Consider the following 14,379-nt stretch of genomic DNA (forward strand, 5'->3'; position numbering starts at 1 on the left):
ATGCTGTACTTGCTTGGATCTTGGGGGATGTATGGGACCCAGAGTGAGCTCCCTCTCTGGAGTAATGCCATCATTTGGACTCTGGGCTGTTCACTCTTCCAGTCTCAGGGATTGCAAGGGTCGAGGGGCTCTCCCATGGTTAGATTTCAGGAGCCACAGAGAGAATGTGGACTGCTAGGGATCTCTCACTTAAGCTTTCCCCATATTGGAAAGCCTCTCAGAACTCCCAGCTAATCCTGAGCTGGCTGCCTTGATTTTCTCTCCTTCCGTGCCTCAGGTGTTTTCTGTCAGTTTTCTGTTGAATTCCGGTGTTCTCTCTCAGATTCTCTATTTGAAGTGTGATTATCTACTCACTATTTTGGTTCTATTTTGTGGAGTCGGTGAGTGCCAGATGCCTCTAGTCAGTCATCTTGAAGCTAATCCTCGTCTATGTATATTTTCTTATAGTTTAAAATATGTTTTAAACATTTTATTTCCTATAAGTATTTAGTCTGGTGGTGTTTTAATTTTTTTTTTTTTTTTAGCTGAGCCTTCCTTTAAACAAAACTTTACTTGGAAAGCCGAGTGTGTAGAAGTGATACAAGCATAGTTACTTATGCAAAAGTAAAGGGAGAAGCCTAGGATCTGGTATTTCTCCTGCAGTGTCTCCAAGGTAATGCTATGGAATAAATAGAACTTGACTGCATGGTATGAAACCACTGCCTAATATAAAAACCACAATTCTATAAAAACCACAATTCTAATCTAATTAATACTTACAGATAGAATATATGATGTGAAATAAGGATTGACTTTGTCTTTTCACTCCATGAGTGTTCAGCTATTAGAGTTTACTTCCTTTATGTGTTCCCTCAGTTTTATTTTATTTTTTTTTTTTTTGAGATGGAGTGTGGCTCTGTCGCCCAGGCTGGAGTACAATGGTGCGATCTCAGCTCACTGCAACCTCCGCCTCCTGGGTTCAACTGATTCTTCTGTCTCAGCCTCCTGAGTAGCTGTGATTACAGACACCCACCACCATACCTGGCTAATTTTTGTATTGTTAGTAGAGGTGGGGTTTCGCCATGTTGGCCACAGTGGTCTTGAACTCCTGACCTCAAGTGATATGCCCACCTCGACCTCCCGAAGTGCTGGGATTACGAGTGTGAGCCACCGTGCCTGGCCCCCTCATTTTTCCATTTGAGGGAATTGCATTAGAGTAATGCTCCCTGCCCCTAAACCTTATTCACTTCTCCAGGGGCTGAGGAAAGGTGGACGAATCTGAAAGGTAGTTAGGAGAGAAGCTGAACATGCTGGCTTTTTCCTCTCACTCATTTCCTATCTACTGAAGATCTACATTCTGATCTACTCTCTGCAAATGCCACCAGGAAGATGGTCATACAGGAGTTCCCTGTATTTTTTCAGGTTTGTATGTAAGAAAGTTTAATTGTGGGGAGAATTTTGGGGATGCTCATTTGGACCACATATCAAAGCCACATTCTTGAATCCATCTTTTATCAGTAACAAAAGTACTCAAAAGATATTTTGATAGTCATCTCTCAGCTTCTTGGGTATTCCCATCTGGTTTGCTATTCAGATGGACATAAGAGAGCTATTATTATTAGCCCTTAAAGTTCCAACTCATTTTAAAGAATAATTCTTTCCCCATTAAGCTATAATATTATTTTTATTAAATAATAAATCCACATGGCTTCAGGATATTCTCTCTATTCCATTTATCTGCCTTCTAATTTCTTGTTATGATACTCACTAAAAAATTAATAATTAAAGCATTCTTTCTAATAAACTTTAGAATAATTTTATCAAGTTCCAAGAAGTTATCTGGCATTTTAAGTTGATGATAGGCCTATCAATTCAGATAACTAAAATGTTTCAATATTCAGTCTTATCAATACAGAGAGATGTTACATCTTCATTTGTTTCAATAGCTTAGTTAAATTTTTAAACTTTTATTTATTAAAATATTCTACTTTAAGTGTTATTTTCGAAAAGCTTTTAAAAATAGGAATTAGTGTGGAATTTAATAAAGTTTTTGAGATAGTAATTTTCTTTGAACTTTATTTTGTATTGCATAATCTTAATAGGTTTCTTAATATTTCATATCAAATAATCTTTATACATGTGGGTGAATCCTTTTTAATTATGGCATATAATTCTTTTAATATTGCTGAACTATTATTTTGGGTTCATGTTGATTTAGGATTTATGACATGAGTTAATATTGATTTAGGATTCATGTTTTGTGAGAAAAGCGTATGCTTTTTATATATCTTATTCAGGTTTAATATGTCACAAAATTATTAAGTGACTTAATATTTTTGCTCTGGAACAGTTCACATAGTAAGGGGATTATCTATGCTTAAAAAATTTCAAGAGTATTGCCATGAAACCATTTGACCTTTTAGGGAGATAGTTCTCTGATAATTTTTCCCTAGTCCAGTTTATTTTAGTATTATTGCACAACTGGAGAATTCTGAGTTGATTTCCTATGGTAGATGTTTTAGTACATTTTGTTAATTTAAATATTTTCAAATTTAACATCATAAAATTGCTCAGAATATTATCTTGTTTTGGATACCTCTGCTGTTTTGTTGTAGCCACTTTTCAATCATTTTTGATTTTATTGTTTTCTTTATAATGTCTTGTTTATTTTCTGCAATGTTCCTGATAAATGTTCATTAAACAGTTACTGTTTGTTCTCATTTGAAGTAATGTATACTCTTTCTAGAAAATGTGATATGCTACATTTCATTGATTGTTCTAAAAAGATATATTTTATAAATGATCTTTAGAATTTATATCTATACATACATATAGCTGTCAAGAAAAATACATCATTGGCAAAAGGGAACAGATTTGATGATTTTTATAACTTGCCTTTTGTATATAAAATAAATATTTTGAACTTAGAGTTAAATACTCTAATTTTTAAACTCTGGATTAGCAAAAATATCTTAATTGCTTTAAAAATGTCTTATTGTTGAATATTTATTTTGTTTTTAAATCTTTACTATCATAAAAATACTGCAATAAACATACCCAGAACAAAATTCTTAATTATTTTCTTGAGAAAAATTCCTGTTAGTGGGGTTGCTGGGTCAAAGGCTATGAAGCTTTAACAAACTATATATGTGTTTGTGTTAAATATAAATACATATACACTTGATACAATCATGCATCATTTAATGATGAAAATATATTCTGTGAAATACGTTATTAGGCAATTTTGTCATTGTATGAGTATTATAGAATTTAGGTACACAAACTTAGGTGATATAGACTACTATCTAGGCTATATGCTTTAACACCTTGTTCCTAGGCTACAAACCGTTAAAGCACATTACTGTACTGAATACTGCAGGCAGTTGTTAACATTACGGTTAAAATATTTGTGTATCTAAACATATCAAGAGATAGAAAAGATATAGTAAAAATATGGTATAGAAGATACAAAAATGGTACACCTGTAAAGGGCACTTACCATGAATGGAATTTGCAGGACTTGAAAGTTACTCTGGGTGAACGTGATGGCCTAGGACAGTACTGTACATTACTATAGGCTTTATAAATACTGTAAAGTATACTTAGGCTACATTAAATTTATAAAAAATATTTTTTCTTTCTCTAATAATGAATTAATGTTAGCTTGCTGTAACTTTTTTTACATTACAAATGTTTAAATTTTTTACACGTTTGACTGTTGGTAAATAACACTTAGCTGAAAACACAAACACATTGTACAACCGTACTAAATATTTTCTTTCTATATGTCCTATAAGCTTTGTTCTGTTTTAAAAGTTCTTATTTTCTTTACTTTATAAACTTTTTTCTTAAAAACTAAGACACAAACATACACATTAGCCTAGGCCTACACGGAGTCAGGATCATTAGTATCCCCATCTTCCACTTCCGCGTCTTGCTCTGCTAGAGCAAGATCTTCAGAAGCAATTACATGCATGGAGCTGTCATCTCTTATGATAACAATGCCTACTTCTGGAATACTTCCTAAAGGACCTGCCTAAGGCTGTTTTACAGTTAACCATTTTTATAAGTAGAAGGAATACTGATAAAATAATAATAAAAAGTATAGTATATTAAATTCGTAAACCAGTAACATAGTCTTTTATTATTATCAAGTATTAGGCACTGTACACAATTGTATATGTGATACTCTTATATGACTAGCAGTGCAGTAGGTTTGTTTGTGCCAATGTCCTCTTAATCACATGAGTATTGTACTTGTGCTATGACATCAATAGGTGATAGAAATTTTTCAGATCCATAATAATCTTATGGAATCACCACTGTATACACAGTCCCTCATTGACTGAAACACCGTTTTGCAGTGCATGACTGTATACACATAAACATACATATGTATATAGGTATATATGATTTTGTTATACATACATATGTATAGCAAATATATGTATATATAATTTTTTCTTCAAATTGTCCTCCATGAGGTTTCCAGTGATTTGTACTCTTAATAACAACATGTAGAAGTACCCAGTTTCCTGAATAATTTTCAAACTGGATATTATCACTTAAAAACAGTTTCTTTATTTCATATGAAAATATGAAATTTATCTTTTTATTACTAGGGAATTTAGATAGTCCTGTACACATTTGGCATTAATTTTTACCTTTGATTTTATTGCTATCTTAGTAAATCCATATTTTATTTATAACATCTTTACATTCTTTCAAAATGTAAGTCCATCTATTATAAGTGACTTTATTGTACAGAGGAATTGGCTTCCAGGATTGGCCTGAGTACAGTCCTTGGAAAAAAATGTTTAAAACAGGATAAGAATAATCAATATGTTATAATAAGTGCTTGTAACAGTCCAGAGTAAGAGTTGTATACTTACTTATGGTTGATTGAAAACTCTTATAAATTTAATCACCACTATAATAATTTATAAGTGACAGATTTATTCATTCCCATTGTTCTTAAACTTACTGCGAAGTCTTTTAACTTCACTTGTAACAAACTGGATATTAGTGGCCTGTTCGAAATTTGTTTTCAGCTCTGTTTTTCTATATTTGCCATTCAGATCCAGACTCTTCACTTATATTTGGTTATTCTGCTTTACATATTCTAATTTAATGGTTTATTAGTTTTCTTCTTGTCTTTTCTCATTTTTCTTCTTAGTGGTAAATTGAGAGTTCATGTTTTGGGAAATGCTCTTTAATTGATAATCCAGCTATATGTGCCATTTTGTTAATATACATTAAGTACACATACAAATAAATATGTATACATGCACATACCTGTACAAGGAAATATAAAGATTTTACTCTATTTTTATGCCTACAGGAAGATGTCAGTTGAGAAGTAAACTCAGAAACTCTGATGGGACAATTAATGGTTCAAAGCCTGTGAGAAGTTGGAATGGAATGTGTCTAGAGCACAAGAGGAAGTGTTTCTCTGTCTTTTTCTCTCCAGAGAGAGTTTGAGAATTGGCTCACATGATTGTGGAGGCTGGCAAGTTGAAAATTTATAGGGCAGATTGGCAGTCTGGATACCTAGGGAAAAGCTGGTGTTGCAACCAGAATCTGGATGCAGTCTTCTGGCAGAATTCCTCTTCTTCAAAGGAGGTCATTCTTTCTCTTGAGGCCTTCAGCTGAGTGGATAAGGCTCACCGATATTATGGAGGGTAATCTGCTTTACTCAAAGTCTACTGATTTAAATGATAATCTCAACTGAAAAATATCTTCATGGCAACATCCAGATGTGTTTGACCAAATATCTGTGTACCATGACCTAGCCAAGTTGACATATAAAATTAATCATCACAATAATCTAACTTTTTGTTCTTTGTAAACATTTTCTGAGAAAGAGGTGGGAAGTAGGGTTGAATATTTGTCATAGAAACTGTAAGGGAATGTTTAAAAGGGGCAGAGAAAAAGATTTCTGATCTATGCTGAGGTCCCAACTGAGGCTGAAGATCCTAAATCATAGTAGCACAGAGTTTTATAACTGTATTTTCAGGAATACCAAGAAATATAGAGTAGCAAATACCAATGATTAAAAAGCTGTAGGTCTCGGGAAATTATGAGTAGCTGTGGGAGAAAGACAAATCATGACAGAGTTAGCTGTGTTAGAAGTGAAGTTACAGTTATATTATGACAAAGCCTTGACTAGATGCTCACCAATCTCATTTTCTCTTCTTAGACACAAAGGAAATCTACAATTCTCAGCCATTCTTGGAATTAGCTAATGGTTGTATGACTAGGTTCTAGCCAATGAAACATAGGTTCAAGTAACATAATCCACTCTTGGCCTGGCTCTTAAAAATGTCTTCAGCAAAACTTTGACTTTCCATTTTCTTTTCTGCAAAGTACCAGAGGTTGTGTATTTAGAATGGAAGGCTTCTGGATTCTAGAATGACTGCCAAAGAGAGCTGATCAACCTACATTTGACTTTGAGTGAGCAAGAAAAAGCCTTTTATTGTATCAAGCCACCAAGATCTTGGAATTGTCTAATATAGTAGCTAGCATGAATTAACCTTTCTAGCATATATACCACAGGATCCAAGGATGAATGTGAAATCAAGAAGGGAGAAATAATTGAGAGGAAAGAATAAATCCAGGCATGTGAGGTTTAAATGAGGCAGAAGAATAGGCTTTGAGGGAATAGGAGGCCTGGAGCATAGGTGTTTAATGTCAGAAAGCAGTATATTGAAATGCCACGAGTTGGCATTAGAGTGATTTCAAGGTCTGGCCATAGAACTGAATATTGGAGGGAAAATGTAGTGAAGGTTATTAGCATCGAGAGGGCCCTTGCAAAATAAATCATCCAGATGGAATAATGCAGGAGAATACTATCTCTAAACCAATCTTTTAATATCACCTTAAATTCAATATGGAGGCATTTGTGTGTGTGTGTGTGTGTGTGTGTGTGTGTGTGTGTGGGGTGTGTGTGTGTGTACCCTAATCCCAAAGATACCAGTTAAAAATTACGTTGTTTCCATCTAAAGAGCTTTTCAGAAAAACAACAACAAAATTTAAGTGATAATGTTTGTATGGTGATGGGGTACCCTATTATTATCGTTAAGGATTTTAATATCAACTAAAACTTACGTTACTGTTCTCAAATCTATAGATTGTACTGGTAGATAATTATTTATTTAATGCACATCCAACTTCTATATGATGTTTGACATGGTTTGGCTGTGTTCCTACCCAAATCTCATCTTGAATTGTAGTTCCCATAATCTCTATGTTTTTGGGGACCTGGTGAGAGGTAATTAAATCATGGAGGCAGGTCTTTCCTGTGCTATTCTTGCGATAGTGAAGAAGTCTCATGGGATCTGATGGTTTTATAAAGGAGAGTTTCCCTGCACATGCCTTCTTTGCCTGCTACCACGTAAGACATCCCTCTGCTCTTCCTTCATGTTCCACCATGATTGTGAGGCCTCCCCAGCCATGTGGAGCTGTGAGTCCACTAAACCTCTTTCCTTTATAAATTATTCAGTCTTGGGTATGTCTTTATTAGCAGCATGGAAACAGACTAATACAAAGTTGAACCATGGGTAGAATGTGGCTGGATGAAAGATTCTTTTACTTCCACACAACCAATTCTTAGAATGATTTTCTACGTGGGCCACTGCTACATCAGCTCATAATCTGAGTTAGGAAACTTAGTCTTATTATTACCAAATAATAATTACTAGAACTGCTGGTCACATTATTAATGAATATTTTTCTGATTATAGAAGTGATACATGTTTATTGTAGAAAAAGTAGACTATACAAAGAAGTATAAAAAGGAAAATAATTCAACTTTTACGACATTGGCAAATGTTATTTTTGTATGTTTCCCAGCAGATAATTTTTCTGTACAGGAATATACTTTAAAAATATTTTTGGGATTACATTACATTAACATATTTGCTATAGCTCTTTTTTCTCAGTTCCATATGGTGAACAATCATGCCACTAAATTCTTCAAATACAGCATTTATTAACAGCTGTATAATACTGCATCATATGGCTATTTCACAGTTTATTTAATGATGTCTTATCATTAGACGTTTAGTGTTTTCTTTCCTTCTCACTACTGCAATTAATGTTGTGATATACATTTGAATTTAATTTGTCCATTGCACTTCAGATTATTTTCATTAAGACCGTTTTCTATAAATGAAAACCGTGGGAAGAAAGGCCTTTGAATTCTTGAGTTGATGTTTTAGAAATGCATGTATTCAGATAGAACATAGTGAACATGTCCATTTACCCTATATAGAGCTATAGGTTTAACAAAATTCCTATCAAAATCTTAGCAAAGTTTCTTGTTGAGATAGAGAAGATAATTCTAAAATGTATATTGTACCTTCAGAAGGTTTCTGATAGATATTCCCAAATGGCATCACTATAGCAATTAGACTGTTACTAACAGGGACCAAGACCTTGCCTCACTTCATTTTCGTCACTCAGCCCTCAGCATTTCTCTTTAAAATATTTTTCAATTTGGCAAGTATAAACAATTCTTTTCTTTTCTTTCTTTTTTTTCAGAGTCTTGCTCTTGTTGCCCAGGCTGGAGTGCCGTGGCGCGATCTTGGCTCACTGCAACCTCTGCCTCCTGAGCTCAAGTGATTCTCCTGCTTCATCTTGCCGAGTAGCTGGGATTACAGGTGCCCACCACCACACTAGGCTAATTTTTTGTATTTTCAGTAGAGACGGGGTTTCACCACACTGACTAGGCTGGTCACGAACACCTGACCTCAGGTGATCACTCGCCTTGGCCTTCCAAAGTGCTGGGATTACAGGCGTGAGCCACCGCGCCCAGGAACAATTATCTCATTTTAGTTGCAATTTGCATTTCTTTGGTTATGAAGTTGTGCTTTTAAAATTATTACTTCTGTGGATTGTTCTATTCAGGTTTTTAGCATATTGGGAATAACAGTGTTTATTAGTGTGAGTGTTTTTTCTATTAAGAATATTAATTTCTTTTTCTCATTTTTGTTGGTTATATCATGTGCCTTTGAATTTTGTGAACACATTCTTGAGTTGATGTTTTAAAAATGCATGTATTCAGATGGAAAATAGCAAAGATGTCAATTCCCCCTGTGTAGATCTATAGGATTAACATAATTCCTATCAAAATCACTGTGAGATTTCTTGTTGAGATATACAAGATAATCCTAAAATGTATATTTTAGGAAAAGACCATAGGATAGTCAAAATAATTTTGAAAGAGAAGGAAAAAGTAGGATAAATCACTCTTCCTAATGTTAAGGCCTATTAGAAAGCTACAATCAAGACTGGTTTTGGTAGAGGGTAGAACATACACCAATGGAACAAAATGGAGAAATAAAAAATAAACCCAGCCGGGTGCGGTGGCTCATGCCTGTAATCCCAGCAGTTTGGGAGGCCAAGGTGGGCAGATCACCTGAGGTCAGGAGTTCGAGACCAGTCTGGCCAACATGGTGAAACCCCATCTCTACTAAAAATACAAAAATTAGCTGGGCCTGGTGGCGGGAACCTGTAATCCCAGCTACTCATGAGGCTGAGGCAGGAGAATGGCTTGAACCTGGGAGACGGAGGTTGCAGTGAGCCGAGATCGCGCCATTTTACTCCAGCCTGGGCGACAGAGCAAGACTCCGTCTCAAAACAAACAAACAAACAAACAAACAAACCCACATGAATATAACCAATTAATTTTGGGTCAGGAAGCAAAGGTGATTCAGTGGGAGAGGGAAAGCATTTTCAAGAAATGGTGTAGAGCACTGCGACCACCATCAACCAAAAAGAAAAAAGGACTTCAATTAAATCTCACATCTTATACAAAAAGCCTCATAAAATAAATCATGTAGATCATAATACTATAAAACTTTCAGAAACAAACATAGGAGAAAATCTTTGGGACCTAGAACTAAGAAAAGAACTTTTAGACTTGACACCAAAAGCATAGTCTATAAAAGGAAAAATTGATAAATTGAATCCCATCACATTGAAAATACTGGCTCCGTGAAAGCCCAAGTGAAGAGGATGAAAAGACAACCTACAGAGTGGGAGAAAATATTTGCAAACCACATATCTGACATAGAGCTAGTATCTAAAATACATAATACCTATAGAGAGAACTCAGAAAACTCAACAGTAAAAACAAACAATTCAATTAGAAAATGGGCAAAAGACATGAATGTACATATTACCAAAGAGGAAACAGAGATGGTAAATAAGCACATGAAAAGATGTTCAACATCATGAGCCATCAGGGAAATACAAATTAAAACCACAATAAGCTATCACTACATACTATCAGAATGGCTAACATAAAAAATAATAACATCAAATGCAGGGAAACTGGATTACTCACATATTGTTAGTAGAAATGTAAAATATTACAGCTTTTCTGGAAAGAGTTTAGCAATTCCCCCCTCCAGAAAAAGAATAATTACCATATGACCTAACAATTGCATTCTTGGGAATTTAAAACTTAAGAAGGTTTTAACTTAATAGAGAAACATTTTATATGGAAACTTGTACATGAATGTTCATAGAGGCTTTGTTTTTAATAGCAGAAAACTGGAAATTACCCAAATTTCTTTTAAGGGGTGAATGGTTAAATAAACTTTCATATGTCTATACCATGGGATACTACTCAGCAATAAAAGGAAAACTACTGATACATTCAGCAACTTGGAAGAACATGAAGGTAGTTATGCTAAGTGAAAAAAGCCAATCTCAATAGGATACATATTGCATGATTCCATTTACAAAACATTCATATGTTATTATAACTGTAGATAGGGAGAAGGGACTGTTGGTCACCAAGAGTTAGGAATGGGAGGAGGAGGATGTGGATGTGGATAAAAGGATAGTACGAGGGAGCCTGTGGAAATGGAATGCTCACATTTCTTGACTGTGGTGGTTGTTACATAGATCTACATATGTGATAAAATTGCATAGACCCACCCATCACACTGGTGAAATCTGAATTAGCTCTGTGCTTTGTACCAATGTCAGTTTCCTGGTTTTGATAGATACACTATGTTGATGCAAGATGTTACCTACGTAGGGAAGGCTGTGTTAAGTGTACACAGGACCTCCCTGTACATTTCTTAATATCTTCCTGTGAATCTATAATTATTTCAGAATAAAAATTTAAAAATACTGTTTATTCACATTAAAAATATTCATGTAATGTAGGAAAAAACTTAGGAAGATACACACCTAATTAATAATAGATTTTAGTTCTGGGAGGTGTGATAGATTGGCATGGGCAAGGGAAAATGAGTGCTTTCTACTCTATAAAATTGTACTTACAGTATGTGTCACTTTTGCAATTTCACAATTAAAGGATAATTTAAAAAATGTATTTAAACCTATAATTATTTCTGAGTTAACTTCCTCAGAAATAATTATAGGTTTAAATACATTTTCACGTTAGAAGTTATCTGTATTCACCTATATTTTAAAATAGTTGTTTAAGCTTTAGTTTTTTTTAAATAACAAACCTTTAACTTGTTAATTCATTGTAATTTCTTTTAGTGTATGACATGCAGTTTTTACCTAATTTAAAATCATTTAAAAATAGTTAACTGATGCTTTGGCATCATTTGGTCTTCACATTTATTTTGATGGCACATTTATTGTATATTAGGTTCTGATATATACTAGGGTGTGTTTTTGGCTAAACTGTTCAGTTTCTGTTTACATGTTTTTGATTATTGTAGATGTATAATTTTCCTATGTATTATGGAAAATTCTTTGTTATACTGTATTTTTAGAATCTTCTTCTTGGGTAGTATAATCCATTTATCTTCTAGATTAACTTAGGATCTCTTTTTTTATTTTACCAGAGTGGGTTTTGATTGGCACTGAATTAAAATGATAAATTAATTTGTGGAGAATTTACTTCTGTCTTATCTAAGACAGAATATCTGTACAGTTTTTCAAAACTGCTTTTGTGTCTCTATGTTTTTACTTTTCTTTGTAAGTGTATTATACTTTACATTGTAAGATTGCTTGTTAGTATTTTATGTTTTGGGCTACAATTATCAATGATGAGCAGGATTTATCTCCCATTTTCTTTTTTTTTAAGCTGGCTATTGTTAACATGTAAAACTTTATTCTTATGGTCTTATTTTTCATCCAATTATTTTGAAAGTTGTATAATTTTTTGTTGGATTCATGTTCATTGCTTTGTTTTGCTCTAATTCTCTGTTTTTAGTAGATATACAATGACTACTAATGTAGGGAATGATAGCCACTCTTGCCACTAATTTTAGAGAGAATGTGTGTAGTGTCCACAATTGAGATTATTGCTGAATATTGACTTCAGATGTGTCTTATCTGCTATACTTTCCTTTTTTTTAAAAAAAATCAAGAATTGCTATTGAGTTTTTCCAAATGCTTTCAGGGCTTATTAGCATGATCATGCTGTTTCTCTCTATCAACCTATGTTGATAGAGTTACTTATTTTGTGTTTATTGAAATTTTATTTTTAACTAAACTTTGAGTTATAATTTATGTAAAATAAAATACATCATTTAAATAAAAACATCACACAATTTGATAAATTTTGACAGATGTATTTCTCTGTGAAAGCACAGCTGCAATATATTTCCATCATCCCTAATAGATTCTTTGTGCCCCCCTGTAGAAAATCTGTCACTTTGCTCCAGGCTCCAGCCAGTCACTGTTTTGTTTTTATCAGTATAGATTAATTTACATTTTCTAGAATTTTATATACATAGAATCAAAGCAACTGTTATCTCTAGTTTCTTTCACTTAGCAGAATGAGTTTGAGATTTGTCTTAGTTCGCTCATGCTGCTATAACAAAATAACTTAGATTGGGTAATTTATAAACAACAGAAATTTATTCCTCCCAGTTCCGGAGCCTGGGAAGTCCAAGATCAAGGCACCTGCAGATCTGATGTCTGATAAGGACTGGTTTTCTGCTTCAAAGATGGCACCTCGTTGCTGCATCTTCACATGGCATAAGGGGTGAAAGCTTTAAGTTTCTTTGGTAAGAGCACTAATTTCATTCATGAAGGAAGAGCCCTCATGACCTAATCACCTCCTAAAGGGCCCACCTCTTAGTACCCCACAATGGAGATGAGGTGTTTTGTTTTGTTTTGTTTTTAATCTTTTAATTTAAAAGTAAACTTTACTGTGGAAAATGCAAACTTGGGGAGGGCAGAAAGATCACACACAAGGCTGCCTCTTCACACCTGGAGGGTTGCACGGCAGCCGGGCAGAGGCGCTCCGCACTTCCCAGTGGGGCGGGCCAGGCCGAGAAAGGCGCTGCTCACTTCCCAGATGGTGCGGGGGCTGGGCAGAGGCGCTCCTAACTTCCCAGACAGTGCGGTGGCCGAGGGGTGAGGTTTAAATATGAATTTTAAAGGGACACAGACATTCGAAGCATAGCAAGATTCATTTATGTTGTTGCATATTTTAGCATCCTATTCCTTTTTGTTGCTGAGTAGTATTTCACAGTGGGGATATGCCACATATTTTGTTTCTCTAATCACTTGTTGATGGATACGTAGGTTGTTTCAAGTTTGTATCTATTATGCATAAAATTGCTGTAAGCATTCATGCGCACATCTTTTTGATGTGCTATTTCTTTTTGATAAAAACTTATGAATATTCATAAGTGTATGTTTAACACTCAAAAAAAGCCACACATTTTTTCTATGTAGTTTTACTAGTTTACATTCCCATCAACAATATCTGAGAATTCTAATTACTCTACTTCCTCTCCAACATTTTATGTTGTCAACTTTTAAAATTTTAACCATTATAGTGCATGTGTTGTGGTATCATTATAGTTTTAATTTACATTTCCCTGATGAATGATTTTGAGCATCATTTTATGTGACCACTAACAGATTTAATAAACCATCTTGACATTCTTAGGATATACCATCCTTGCTTGTGAAGAATTTAGTATGACCAGCTTCTGAGAGTGTCACCCCGGATACTGTCAGAAGTTGGTCACAATAAAATCATCACAATCATTCCATTCATACCAAAAAGTATATAATATATAATAAGTATACACATATATTATAGCAAATATATAAAATATAGGTATTGATTTGAAATTGTGTTATTCTGTATTACTTTTCTGTTACATACATATAAGAAATGTAAATATAAATACATGCATATTATTTAAAAAGCAATAGAACTAGTTAATGGTTGAAATTAGTAATTAATAATAGGACTAATTAACGAATTGATATAGACAACAAAAATATAACACTATTTTTATAATATTTCTGTTAGAGATTTTAACTCTTTGGATATTCTACTTTTGTAAGTTGTGTTATTGTGTATTCTTAAGCTAAGTAAATAAAATACCTTTAAAAAAATGAACGTAAATAAAATGGGATTAGTTAACCAAACATTATATTTAA

General features: G+C 33.9%; 1 long non-coding RNA gene across 13 annotated transcripts in view, besides 1 other annotated feature; it reads left to right on the plus strand.

The window, feature by feature from the left end:
• Positions 1–14,379, plus strand: part of LOC105375523 (uncharacterized) — a 459,019-nt gene that overhangs the window by 219,024 nt on the left and 225,616 nt on the right. The window lies entirely within an intron of this gene.
• Positions 10,517–10,717: a silencer, noted in NCBI's record as "peak6756 fragment used in MPRA reporter construct". NCBI's record gives its function as "represses an SCP1 promoter by STARR-seq MPRAs in K562 erythroleukemia cells {active_cell/tissue: K562}" and the evidence as "EXISTENCE:reporter gene assay evidence [ECO:0000049][PMID:32103011]".

Source organism: Homo sapiens, chromosome 7, assembly GCF_000001405.40.
Source record: "Homo sapiens chromosome 7, GRCh38.p14 Primary Assembly".
Taxonomy (NCBI): Eukaryota; Metazoa; Chordata; class Mammalia; order Primates; family Hominidae; genus Homo; species Homo sapiens.